At 36.5% G+C, this 15,028-nt stretch overlaps 1 pseudogene across 1 annotated transcript in view; it reads right to left on the reverse strand.

Annotated features, from left to right (window-relative positions):
- NPEPPSP1 (NPEPPS pseudogene 1) overlaps nucleotides 1–15,028 on the reverse strand; it is a 61,510-nt pseudogene that overhangs the window by 5,540 nt on the left and 40,942 nt on the right. The window contains exons 4-8 of the transcript NR_036750.2: nucleotides 7,772–7,837; nucleotides 4,356–4,463; nucleotides 1,457–1,702; nucleotides 959–1,055; nucleotides 793–826 (exon numbers count right to left, since the gene is read on the reverse strand). The product of NR_036750.2 is annotated as an NPEPPS pseudogene 1 (transcript). The remainder of the gene's footprint in view (nucleotides 1–792; nucleotides 827–958; nucleotides 1,056–1,456; nucleotides 1,703–4,355; nucleotides 4,464–7,771; nucleotides 7,838–15,028) is intronic.

The raw sequence follows: 15,028 nt of genomic DNA on the forward strand, positions 1-15,028 counted from the left end.
GTTGGGAAGATTCAGACAGTAAGTCAGATGGACAAGTTAGGCTTTAGAGATATTAGGAAAATATTTCCTAATATGGAAAGAAAAAGTTTCACGAAGATTAAAGACTACCCCAACAGAATTAATACAACAGAATATCAAAGATGTGACACAAGTTTAATTATCAGTTTGTTGATAGAATAGCTGCCTGAAATTTTGGGAAAACATTGTCTAAGGGATTAGCGATTACTGTGCTAGATGGAGAGAGAAGAAAGTCCTTTCATTAAATGAGGGGAGTGGTGGAGGAAGATGCATTCCATAGTCCCAAAAACAGCACTGAGCCGGCCGTTCAACACTTAGCTCATCTAAGAAGGCAATTGAAAGTAGAAGGCAAAAACTTGTTTACAGACAGACTCTGCTTTTAAAAGTTATTCAACTCACATGTTTATGTTGTGGTGACAGACATGTAAAAACTTGGCTAGAAGATATGAAATTAGGGAAGGTTCTCCAAGCTGGATAAATAGCTGTGAAACTACTGGCAGGAAAGAAAGGCACTGCAATGAGAAACTTAGCCAAGAATATATCTAAAAATGCTACTACCGCCAGATGCTCACTTTAAAATCTTACACCCTCAGACAGTAGCACCAAAGGGAGAGGTGTCCATCTGCATTCTTGAAATGTGCATGGAAGTGGGGGAAGGTAGAAAAATTTACACCATATCGTAAAGCAGAAGCTACTCAACTGTGATTAGGAGGGAAGCCCTTTTGAAATCAGTGATTTGAAAAGATAAGGCAGGGTAATACATCATTAACATACCTATAAGTAACAAGGTCCCAGTTCTCCATGGCACCTTCACAAAATAAATATAAACATTTATTGAGATATATATATATATATATATATATATATATACTCTTGCATCAAAAGTCACAAAATTTTAAAAAGTTATTACAATTCAGCAATAAAATGAAATTTACTTTACCAGCTGCAAAGTCTGCAATAGCAATGAGATCAATTTTAGGTAGAGGATAAGGAACATTGAAGTAGTCCTTATAAAAAGGCAAGGTTTTAGCAGCAACCTATAAAAGTATAAACAAAATAACCATCTAATAAATATGTTATTATAATTCATATTGAAACCCACAAAGGAATCCTGTTGCAAGCCAATGTATCTTAAATTACTAGAAATGAATCCCAGGGAGCCCTACCTCCGAAGACTGCCTTAGCTCCAAACTTTGAATACAATGGCCAAACTTTAATCCATTTATAACTTGATATGAAAAATATAACTACATATTTTCCAACCCATTCCCTAGAGAAATTCCACTCTTATATTCTCTTAATTATTATTTTGTAAAATAACGAAACACCAAGGTTGGCATTTCCTAAATTCTATTAAAAATAAACCAAGTAGCACAACTTTCAGATTAAATTATAAATAACTGTACTAATAATTGACCAGAAATGTAAATTCCCCAACCTGGAGTTATGGACTGCTGGAACAATCCTCTTCAAGTACATTTACCTCTAATGCAAATTTTCCTTGTTCTGCTTTGCCAACAGGAGTGTAAACACAGACACACACACCATCTTTTGACCTTGTTTCTACAAAGTCATATTCACCCACAACAAATGCCACCAGATATGTAGATGTAACAGGTGTGCGGGCAAACTTCACTTCCACTAAATTTTCATCATCAGGGTATGGTTTCCGGTCAATTACATTCTTTAAGAAAGAAAAAAAAGAAAAATTTAAATAGGTTTACATTAATACCATAGAGCAAATACCAGCCAAAAACTGTAGGCTTTATTGCATCTCTTTCCCCCTTTCTATTCTAGCATGGCTTATTTCTCTACCCCAATTCATCCAGTGCTTTTATGCTGTCTTTAAGAAGGAAAGTGGTCTGATAAAACACTCATACTAAGAAGCTGGAGGCTGAAGTGTTAAAACTACCAAGGACCTGTGAGAGAAAAGAGGAATGGACTTTTCTCGAATACTTATTATAAGCCAGGCATTGGGATGATTTAAGTAAGGGCTTCATACTTTTCAACTGACATAAGTTTAGGAGAAAATGACTATTAATAAAAATAAAATAGGGGCCAGGCGCGGTGGCTCACGCCTGTAATCCCAGCACTTTGGGAGGCTTAGGCGGGCGAATCACAAGGTCAGGAGATCAAGACCATCCTGGCTAACATGGTGAAACCCCGTCTCTACTAAAAATACAAAACATTAGCCAGGCATGGTGGGGGGTGCCTGTAATCCCAGCTACTTGGGAGGCTGAGGCAGGAGAATGGCGTGAACCAGGGAGGCGGAGCTTGCAGTGAGCTGGGATCACACCACTGCACTCCAGCCTGGGCGACACAGCGAGACTCCTTCTCAAAAATAAATAAAAAAAATATAATATAATTGTAGAATCTCCCATTTCAAAGGATACAAACTTCTAGATCGAGGGCATTCTCTACCAAAGTTGGCTCTAAGCTTATTTGTGAAGAAATTTCAACTTTACCTTTGGAGTCCCTAATTTCCTTTGGTGTTCTCCCTCTTTTTCCTATTCAGGCTCCATTTCCTCAAGCTCTCTCTATTCTTCCTTCCAAGGAAGACTTATTCAAGAACACACTGATAAATTCACTCATACTAAAGTGTGAATGAATATTTCTGCTTAATGTATTAGCCTCCTCTTCTAAGAATATGTGTGAAGAGAATGACATTCTATTTATGGGATGCTCTCCCCCAGTAAATACATAAAAGAGTTATTTTCAGGTGCAGCAGGTTTTTCCAAGTTCCCCACACAAGACAGTCCTAGACAACACACTTCAAGTGGGGAATGCTTACCCTGTTCATGAATGAGATCAATAACACTGGTGAAGAGAATACATTCCAAGAATACAAACAGCCAGAAACCTAAATATACTTCATTATGCAGCTACATCTTTTGAATTCTTTTAACTTTTTAAAAAGATAGAGACAGGGTCTTGCTCTGTTGCAACCTTTTTTTTTTCCCCCCGAGATGGAGTCTTGCTCTGTCACCCAGGCTGGAGCGGAGTGGCGCGATCTCAACTCACTGCAGCCTCCGCCTCCCAGGTTCAAGCAATTCTCCTGCCTCAGCCTCCCAAGTAGCTGGGGTTACAGGTGCCTGCCACCATATCTGGCTAATTTTTGTATTTTTAGTAGAGATGGGGTTTCACCATGTTGGCCAGGCTGGTCTCGAACTCCTGGCCTCAAATGATCCACCTGCCTCAGCCTCCTGAAGTGCTGGGATTACAGGTATGAGCCACCATGCCTGGCCTATTTTTTTTTTTTAAGAGATGGGGTCTTGTTCTGTCACCCAGGCTGGAATACAGTGGCGCAATCATGGCTCCCTGTAGCCTCAAACTCCTAAGTTCGAGAGATCCTCCCACATTAGCCTCCCAAGTAGTTAGGATTACAGACACCTGCCACCATACCTGGCTAACTTTTAAGTTTTAAATCTTTTGTAGAAATGAGGTCTCACTATGTTGCCCAGACTGGTGTCAAACTCCTGGCCTCAAGCAATCCTCCTGCCTTAGCCTCCCAAAGCACTGAAATTACAAGCAAGAGTCACTGTACCTGGCTTTCTTATGACATTTAATAAGTCAAGACCTTTTTCTTTTTTTTTTCTTTTTTTTTCTGACATAGGGTCTGGCTCTGTCACCCAGGCTGGAGTGCAGTGGTGTGATCTCAGCTCACTACAACCTCCGCTTCCTGGGTTCAAGTGATCCTCCCACCTCAGCCTCCCAAGTAGCTGGGACTACAGGTGTGTGCAACCACACTCAGATAATTTTTGTATTTTTAGTAAGGACAGGATTTCACCATGTTGGCCAGGCTGGTCTTCAACTCCTGACCTCAAGCGATCTGCCTACCTTGACTTCCCAAAGTGCTGGGAGGACAGGTGTAAGCCACCATATCCAGCCCAAGACTTTTGCTTTTAGTTACTATAAATCTATTAAACTTGTCAATTTACCTCTCTAAATTAAAAGAAGTAGATAATCTTATAAATGTATTTAACAAGGAATTTGACAAGGAGAAAATCCTCCAAAAATAAAGCTATCAAGAAAAAGAGGTCTTGGCTGGGCATGGTGGCTCATGCCTCTAATCCCAGCACTTTGGGAGGCTGAGGCAGGAAGACAGATTGACCCCAGGAGTTTGAGACCAGCCTGGGCAACATAATGAGACCCCAAGTCTACAGAAAAAAAAAAAAAGAAAGAAAAAGAGGCTTATTGAAAATAAAGAAAACTATTATTTATGTTCCTATAATATACCAGCACTGTGGTAGGTGGTTTCATATTATCCCATCTAATCAGCAAACTAAATCTGCTAAAGCCTATTAAAATTTTAGATAAACTTATAAACACATACATACCATGTTTGATAAAGCTACTCTGTCTTTAGGAACAACCAATGAGATATCAAAAGTTGCTTTGATAGCAGGCTCATCCCAGCAAGGAAAAGCCCTTCGGGCATCAGTAGCCTTAAGAAAAGAATATGAAATATAAATACCTTAGAATTAACCTAACAAGTTATTTCATAAAGCAGTCGCCATTTCCCTCTGTCATTCATTCATTCCCTTGTTCAAATATTTACTTTCTCTTCAGTGCCAGGCAACAAGCTAGGCATTAACTAGAAAGAAAAGACAACACTTGCTACCACTGCCATTCCAGCAAATATCCAGGAACAGTGTCTGCTATGGATTTTAACAATATATTATAATTATTTACAACTAAATTTTTGTTTACATTTTAACATTTCAAATTTAATGCAAATGCCTTCAAATCAATAATGTTAACACAACACAGAGCACAGAACAGTAAAGAGTATGCTATAAGAATTCAAAGTTGGGAAAACATGGTAAGTTGCCTCTCTGGCTTTTATTTTTGAATTAAAAATAAAAATATTCTCAATCTTTGATGTGCTTTGTTCTTCATCTGGAATGGCAGCAATGGGAATAAAGACAGATGCTCTATCAATTCAAGACAGGTCATTCATTTAATGGCACTTCCATATGCTACACATAAAACTGTCGCCACTTGACCTACTTGAGTCCTTACTCTTTCATTAAAAATTTAAAAAAGAGCAACCTTATGAAAGCAAAATAAAACTTAGGGGTTCTGCAGGGTATCAGTTATAAAGGAAAGACACTTCAGTAAACAGAATTTTCCATTTATTTAGTAAATAAAATGGAACCAATGACAAGATACTGTATCATAAAAAGAAACAACAGACTGGGTGCAGTGGCTCATGCTTGTAATTCCAGCACTTTGGGAGGCCGAGGTGGGCGGATCACCTGAGGTCAGGAGTTCGAGACCAGCCTGGTCAACATGGTGAAACCCCGTCTCTACTAAAAATACAAAAATAAGCCAGGCATGGTGACACATGCCTGTAATCCCAGCTACTCGGGAGGCTGAGGCAGGAGAATGGCTCGAACCTGGGAAGCGGAGGTTGCAGTGAGCCAAGATTGCACCACTGCACTCCAGCCTGGGCGACAGAGCAAGGCTCCGACTAAAAAACAAACAAACAAACGAACAAACAAACAAACAAACAAACCAAAGAGGTAGAAGAAACTTGGCTGACTACATTCTCAAAAACATTAAATAAATAATGAATTCTATCAATGAATAAAAAAGACATCTGAAAAGAAGGGAGAGTATAAGGAAAGAAATGGCAGCACAGAAGCATTTAAATTAGAAGCAGCAGCAGTAGAGAAATGAATTTATACTAAAGGAAATTAATGACAGATAACAAGATTTAAGTTTGAAAATATCTAAAGGACAAAGTGATAAAAGCAATTAAACATAATTTGAGAGACAGATACTAGAGCTAAACTGAGTATTAACTGAGAAGGGAATGGAATGGATATCACAGTGAAGATATAACAGAAAAACTCTTTCACACTGAAAAATTACCTGAATCTAAAAATCAATAGGGTTCACCAAGTACTATGCAAAAATCAATGAAAAGTGAACACCTGGTTTAAAAAACAGTTTAATTTTCGATATCAAGATATAATTTAACAAGCAAGCAGGAAGAAAATAAAGCAAAACGAAACAACATCTTACCTACAAAGGAAGAAGAAACATTTTAGTCTGTGACCCCTCCTCTTGAAAAAGTGAGATGTAGAAGACTTTGGAAACAATATTCACAGACTTTTGAAAGTGAAAAATTGTAAGCTGATTGTACTACTCTTACAATTGAATGAGCTGGGCCTATTACTCATGGCAAGAGAGAACTCACACCACAGGGAACCACTGGTGTCTCCATAAGAATGTAAGAAAGAACCCACTATACGATTTGGGATTTGGTTTACATGATTTGGAAGAGGGTCTAAGTAAACAGGGATTCACTCTAGATTGAGTGCTGCAAGAAGTCCTATGAGGCAATTCTATGGGTATGTATCTCAATAAATCTTATCTATACGGAGGCCAGACTAGAGCAAATCTAAAACCGTAATTGGTAAAGAAGCAGTAGTCACTCATTTTAACTGAGAGATGGAGATGTTTGATATTTTGCGGGTAGCATAGTGATCCTGTATGTACTGTACCTAGGCAAAATTATGGATCCCTTGTTTTGTCTCACTTTATTATGGTCTCAAGTAGCCTTGTCTAAAGTTGGTATTCTGTAATATTATGTCTAATAGGGAGAATAACACGGGCTAGCTGTGAGTGCCAGACAACCTCTGGATGTCAAAAGTTGCTCTTTTTACCTTTTTTCATCAACAAATCTATATACCCAGTAAATCTGGTCATGTATAAAGGCAAATGAAAGATTTTTCAGAAAAGCAAAGGTTTAGGAATTACATTACCCACATACCTTCTCCTAAAAAAAAAATTGTTTAGAGACATACATCAGCCAACCATTCCAGGATGAAGTGTTCAAAGTGGGTAGAGAAAGGCATTGGAATCATTCAAACACAGAATTAAACCTAAATATCTGTGGCAAATATTATTCTAAACAGAAGGTAACATAAAATTATTGAAAGAGAAGATACATCAGGTAAAACAAATTAGTAGTAAACTGGATAAAAAATTTTAGGTTATCCCAAACAAGCAAACAATATAGGGATATGGGCAGAAACATAAGAATGGATATCATGAATTGTTTCTTTATCCATACTGAAATTTATAGAAATAAATTTAATTAGATTTAACACTTAAAAATACGACTAGCAGATTCAAAACAATTTATATAATTTGCAAATACCTGACAAATAAAAATCATCCTGGCCTACGTAGGACAGCAAATATATATATGTGTGTATATATATATATGTATACACACACACACACACACACACACACACACACAGAGAGAGAGAAAAAAAATCAAAGACAGCACAGATACTACAGTAAGATAAACAAAAGATGTCAAAGAAGGAAAGGAATTCTAGAAAACAGCTAATAATACTGTAGGAAAAGCCATAGGTGTCAAATACTAAGAGAATGATTTTAAGAAAGGTACACAGTATATAGGCAATTCAGGTATCAAAATGTGTCGTGTGTTTGAATGTCTGTGTGTATAACTGTATATAATCATTCCCCAACCCATACCCTTAATTCCCTCCTTTCTATAGAGATAATGGCTAAATATAAAATAAAAATTCTAAAATTGTGAATACAATCATGGCCAAGGGCACCTAGCCTCAAATAATCACCCCACATAATAAACACACCTTTGTCAGAATGCCTAATTTAAGAATAATAATATTTTAGAGAAGAATAACCCATACCTCAAACTGTGTTACAGCAGCATAGGGCACCTCTCCAGAAGGGGTAGTATACTTACTTCTATAGAAACCTTTCATTTTGTCATTCAGCTCTCCAACAAAATCTATCTTTAAGGTTCCTGTACCTGTGATTGAAGATAAATAAAAAACACTTTTATGGAGATGTTAAACACAGTTACCAAAAATATGTCCTCAAGACACTATATTCAGTTAGCTATTTACAATGTTCAAATCATTCCTTCCTTTTTCAAATATTCCTCCTGGCAATGGAGAGAATACAGTACTTACTAAAGTAAAAGGCAGACTAATCCTAAAATAACTCTTGAAAGTCATGTTTAGGGTGACTGCCTAAAAAGTTATTAACTTAGTCTCAAACTACCAATATGTGAAAATAAGAACAGGAAAGGAAACAAACATTTATTCTTAAATGCCTGATATGTGCTATTGTGCACAGTGCTTTTAAAATATATATAACTATTTATAAACCTGGAAGTAGATATTGTCCTCATTTTTTCAGATGAGGAAACTGAGGCTGAGAAGCTAAATAACTTGTCCAGTGTCATAAAATTAGTAAGTAGTGAGAATGGGATAAAATGTTAAGTCCAGAATTCATGCTCTCTGCCAATTATACATGTGAATTGGTCCTTTTACACAACTTCATGCATAGAAAGAGAAATGTAGCCAATTACTCTATCAAGATAAGACACTAAATGTTTACTCCAAATGGAACACTGATTGCATAATTTTGTAAGGAGCTATAGGGAAGACCAATGATTTGATCAGCAACAGGGCATAAAACAAATTCTTACAAGTCACCTCAATCATTTGAAATCTGACAAAGAAATACATTTAATTAATAAATTATTAAATGCAAATAAAAATACAACTTAAATATGTATTCTATTGTATAAGAGCAAAAACAATTTAGACAAAAAAGTGAGCTTTTTTGAGTTTATATACTTTCTTTTTTATAACATAAAAAATTATAATTATTATCTAGTAATCATCTGCTAAATACAGATGCATGGCAAAACAGTAATCCCATTCTGTGTTTTACAAATCAAGTCACGAAAAAACGTAGAGGAATGGTGACTTTTTAGTTGACCATTTTAAAGGCCCTACGTATATCAAGATTTAAAGCATGGGAAGTCTAACAAATCAAAGATAGGGCATGACTATAAAGTAATTAACCAATCATACCAAACTTTTATATCCTAATGTTTCAAATTGTCATTTTGGAACGCTAAAGAGCAATGACATTTGACATTGTTCAAAATGTTGTGACTTTCTCTTTCTCTCTCTCTTTTTTTTTTTTTGAGACAGAGGCTCACTCTGTTGCCCAGGCTGGAGTACAGTGGTGTGATCTCGGCTCACTGCAGCCTCCGCCTCCTGGGTTCAAGCAATTGTGCCTCAGCCTCCTGAGTAGCTGGGACTACAGGCGGGCACCACCACGCCTGGCTAATTTTTGCATTTTTAGTAGAGACAGGGGTTTGCCATGTTGGCCAGCTGGTCTTAAACTCCTGGCCTCAAGTGATCCACCCACCTTGGCCTCCCGAAGTGCTGGGATTACAGGCATGAGCCACTGTGCCCAGCCCCTCTGACACTCTTTTGAATGATCTCAAAGTCAAATCTTCATCTTATAAAATTGAATTTGCTTTTGGAAAGGACCAAAAGTTATGGGGAGTGCGAGTCTACAGAATAAGTGAATGACAAACTACAAACTGTCTCTAGCCTGATGCCTCAAACTGGTTCTGAAAGTAATTTAAGTGAAAATTTCAGACCTTTAGAGCAAAGTCACCACTAATGAAAGTGCTATATTCTTAATCATTCTGAGAAAAAAACAACTCAACTGAAGCTTAATTGAATAGACATTTGTGATGTTTATTTTTTAGAAATCAGATATTTGTAAATATCTAAAGAGGACAATGAATACTTTTTTCTTTAAAGAGAATGACAGGTTACTGGGACAGTATATATGGATATAGTAAAATAATTGATAATTCTAAATGATACTAAAAAATTAAACTATAAAGCAAAATTTAAATTAAAAATTTTTAATTTCTATTTTCTTTAGAAGTTCACTTAATTTTTTTAAAAAAGCAAATGTATTCACATTAATAAAGTTTGCAAAGAACGTCTAACAGATTATAAAAACCTACTACCTTTAATGGAAACTATATGATGGAATTTTATGTTACAATTCCATAAGTGGAATTGCCCAGTCTGTTTCACTAAGTCAGTCAACTGTTAAGATGTTTTTTAAATATAATTCATATTTCATGGTAAATCTACTTGCATTTTTTCCTAGTTGGAACATAAGTGGTTTTAAAACTCATAACTAAATAAGAAAGACTGCTTACACTTTTACTCGGTTTTAAATCTCCAAGGCCATCAAACCATAACAAGATATTGACAGTGACCACTTCCAAAAAGTGGCATACTAAACAAAATACAAAGTATTGGAAAGAGTTATTACCTGAAATTCAAACAAAACACAAGTTAAAGTATTTAAAAATCATTAATAAGTTTAATTAGTGTCACATTATATGATACCAATTACAAAGTATTTACTTACTATTCATATAGTAGAATTTTAGGGCAAGTAGGAGAAAAAATGACTTTTTAATAAATTTCATTTATCAAATTTACACCATATTAATGAACGGATTGCCAAATTGTCTAATTTTATACCTATCAACACACATAATTTACACCACTTCCTCAAATTAGATACCTTATTTCATATCCAATGTATGAAATATTTATGTTTGGGGTTGTAAACCTTTTGAAACATACATCAAGCTCGTTTATAAAGTAAACAACTGAAAAATTGGGACTTCCATCAAAAACCTTAAATGTTTAAAGCTTAGGAGAGTATAACAATTGTAAAACCTGGAGTAAATCTTGAAATACTTTAATAATAAGAAATTTAATGAGTCTACTAAATGCTATAAAAATAAAGAGATTAATTTATACAAAAAGGGAATAAAGATCGTTGCCTTTGTGTCACCACCTCTTTTTTTCTTTGGAAAATGGAGTCTCAGTCTCAGTCTGTCACCCAGGCTAAAGTGCAGTGGTGCAATCTCGGCTCACTGCAACCTTCGGCTCCCGGGTTCAAGCAATTCTCCTGCCTCAGCCTCCTGAGTAGCTGGAACTACAGGCGTGCGCCACCAGGCCTGACTAATTTTTGTTTTTAGTAGAAACAGGGTTTCGCCATGTGTCACCACTTTTTATTATCTTGTTTTTGACTCTTCAAAATGCTGACAACTACCAGTGTTTCTCCATATAAATGCCACCCTCAGGACCCTCAGCCACTAATTCTAAGGTTGTTAGACCTTACAATAATTATGGTAATTTAATCACTATCCCAGAATGGTGCCAATTTCAGAAAAGTAGGTTTTACTTAGCTGTATAATAGCTTGCATTACTGTTAAATTTGATGAGGCTAAACACAAAGGTTATTAATGTCCTCCTAAGATAAGCTCAGTATTTGCTTCATTATCAGATAGATCACTTGTGCAATCTGTCTTGAAAAAGATTAACTTCATTTTTAAAGCAAACCTTGGGAAAATGTGAAAGCCAATGGTTTCAAACAGATATTCAATAATTCAATATTGTCGGCTGGGCGTGATGGCTCACACCTGTAATTCCAGCACTTTGGGAGGCCGAGGCGGGAGGATCACGAGGTCAGGAGATCAAGACCATCCTGGCTAACACAGTGAAACCCCATCTCTACTAAAAATACAAAAACAAAATTAGCCGGGCGTGGTGGCGGGCAGCTGTAGTCCCAGCTACTCGGGAGGCTGAGACAGGAGAATGGCATGAACCCAGGAGGCAGAGCTTGCAGTGAGCTGAGATCGCGCCACTGCACTCCAGCCTGGACGACAGAGCGAGACTCCATCTCAAAAAATAATAATAATAATAATTCAATATTGTCACACCTGCAAGATAATTTTTCTGTTCTAATATTTATATCAGTTGTTATATTAGCTCAAAATTGTTATATTGGCCAAAAATATCAAAAATTATGTTAAATCATACTATACTAATGGTCATAACCTTCTCTAACTTGTTTGTTATTATTTGAAATAGCTTCACCATTTAGCATGTCTGCTGTAAACAGACCTTATCAAGAATGATACATCTCTTATATACTAGTAATAAATGGCCTCCAATATTTACAGTTAAGGGGAAAAGAAGAAAGGTGCAGAACATTATGTATGGCATGGTGATTTCTGTGTTCTTAAAAAGTATATATATAAATGCTTACAAAAGCAGGGGTATAGTTTTGAAAGGAAAATTTCATTTCATTCTGTTGAGGAATGGAGCTGAGAAAGAAGACAGGGTAGACTGGCAAACAAAATTTCATTGCATAGCATTTGAATTTCAAATTATGTAAATGTACTATGTTTTTGAAATATTTAATTTGAAAAATAAAGATAGCACAATGTGGTGGTTAAAAGTGCAGACTTTTGAGTTAAACTGCTTGGGTTTAAATCCCAGCTATGTTACTTACTAGCTATGTTACCTTGGACAAATTATTTAAGTTACTGAAATCATTTTTCTGCCTTAGTTTATCTACAAAATAGAAGTAACAGAATCTGGCTGGCGTAGTGGCTCATGCCTGTAATCTCAACATTTGGGAGGATGGCAAGATCCTCTCTCTGAGGTAGGAGGATCACCTGAGGCCAGGCATTTGAGACCAGCCTAGGCAACATAACGAGACCCTGTCTCTACAAAAAAATTTAAAAATTAACCAGATGCACTGTCATGTGTAGGCAGTCCTAGCTACATGGGAGGCTGAAGTGGGAGAATCACTTAAACCCAGGAGTTTGAGGCTGCAGTGAGCCGTGACTGCACCACTATACTCCAGCCTGGGTGACAGAGAGACTTTGTCACAAAACAAATCTACCTCAAAAGGTTGTTGAAAGGACTAAATAAATTAATATTTTTGAGGCACTTAAAACAGTACTTGGCACAGATTATGTCGTGTGTGTGTGTGTGTGTGTGTGTGTGTGTGTGTGTAATACATATCTTCTATCATGTTAGAAGTTTCTGTCTACTCTTCCCTGGTGAATTCTAGCAAATAAACTGATTCCTTTTGATAAATATAGAATGTTTAACTTTTTAAATTTAATGAAAAATGGTTACCATATTTCCTAATGCTGAACAACAATTCAATCTACGCTTTTATTTTCTATACTGGCTAGGTTTATATATCTTTTGGGACTATTTTTAAATATCAGTTTTTTAATATTTCTGCCCCTCACTTCACTTATTTCATTTGTTTCTGCTCTTAAAACTTTCTTCTACTTTCTCCAAGTTACCTTTTGTTTTTATGAGTTTAATGCTTAGCTAATTAATTTTCAGTCTTTCTTCTTAACTAAATATTCTAATATTTTATCTGCATATGAAACATGTTTATCCCTAATGTTTCATATGTGGTAATTTCATTATTCAGTTCTAAATATTTTCTAATTTCCATAACAAGTCTTCTTTGACTCAATTATTCAGAGGTATAATTTTTTCAAATATATAAAAAGGGATTTTTTTCATTTCTCTTTTTCTATTGACTTCTAATTTTTTCACAGTGTAAACACAGAATATATATAGTCTGTAATGATATAGATTTAAAACTCTAAAATTTTTTAAATTTCTATCAAAGTAATAGTTCACAGTTTAAAATACGTAAGCTCCAGGCCCTGCTCAACACTAGGCCCTACTCCCCACACCCTGCCCCTAGAAGCAATCAATTTCAAACTCTGTGACTTCTAAATGTCTTGCTTACACAGCTATTTTTTCTTTTCCTTTCTTTGAGACAGTCTTGCTCTGTCGCCCAGGCTCGAGGGCAGTGGTACAATCACGGCTCACTGCAGCCTTCAATTCCTGGGCAAGCAATCCTCCCACCTCAGCCTCCCAAAGTGTTGGGATTACAGGCATGAGCCACGACCACGGCCTATTTCTTCATTTTTCAACTTTAGACATTTTCTCTTCACTGTAGAAAGTCATGCTTTAGCTAATCCATCCCCCACTCCAATATCTTTTACAAAGAATCAAATTTTCTATGACCTTGCAAATCTGAAAATATTTTTACTCCGAAATTCAAAGTTGGGCTAAGCATGCAATCTTAGGTTGAAAATCAGATTCACTTTGTATTTTGAATGAACAGCTTCATTAGAGTCTAAGTTTCCACTGTTCCTAATGGTAAGTCTAGGACTATTCTGATTCCTAAATTTTAAAGGTAGTATGCCACCTGCCTTCCCTCCTATTGCCCCCTATCCCAGACAGGAACTTTCTGGGAGTTTTACTTTATCGCAGAAGTTCTAAAATTTCAGTCAGTGTGGCAATTTTTACATTTTTTAAGCTAGTCTCTCTCAATGGTGTACCTTTGCAAACTGAAGGCTCCTGCTCTATCAGTTCAAGGAAATGTTCCTGTCTTTTTGAGTTTCTCTTCTGGCCGGGCACAGTGGCACACGCCTGTAATCCCTAGCACTTTGAGAGGCCGAAGTGGGCACATCACCTAAGGTCCGGAGTTCGAGACCAGCCTGGCCAACATGGTGAAACCCCAACTCTACTAAAAATACAAAAATCAGCTGGGCGTGGTGGTGTGTGCCTGTAATCTCAGCTACCCAGGAGGCTGAGGCAGGAGAATCACTGGAACCCACGAGGTGGAGGCTGTGGTGAGCCGAGATTGCACCACTGCACTCCAGCCTGGGTGACAGAGCAAGATTCTGTTGCAAAAATGAAAATTAAAAAATCCTCTTCCCATTTCCTCTGCTTTCTGTTTTACTAGATGGATGTTGGTTCTGCTGGACTGGTTCTCAAATCTATTTTTCTGTTTTCTATCTGTTTTTTCTACTGCTTGGAAGTTTCCTCAACTTCATCTTTAACACTTTTACTGGGTTTTTTATACCTATCATAATTTCCAAGTTTTCCTGCTGTAATTCTTCCTATCTGATGGCATTCTGTCCTGTCCTTGTTTAATGCACGCAATGCTTTCTCTTAACTCTCTAAGGATAGTAATTAGCTATGGGTTTGTTTTTTTTTTAACTTTCTTTAGATTTGTCTTTGCTTTTTCCAACTTCCTTTATTTCTATTATACTTATAATTTTGCTTTTTGCCCTATCTTTCATTAGAAACTTTTCGCAAATGTCTGTTAAATGCTACCCCAGTGACTTTGGGCTTGGTCATGCTACTTGCTTTGGTCAATGAAATGTGAGTAGACATCAAGTATACCACCATCACACAGAAATTTTATTTTTTATTTTATTTTTTATAGAGACAGGGTCTCACTACATTGCCTAGGCTGGTCTCGA

The sequence above is a fragment of the Homo sapiens genome, chromosome 17, assembly GCF_000001405.40.
Source record: "Homo sapiens chromosome 17, GRCh38.p14 Primary Assembly".
Classification (NCBI taxonomy): domain Eukaryota; kingdom Metazoa; phylum Chordata; class Mammalia; order Primates; family Hominidae; genus Homo; species Homo sapiens.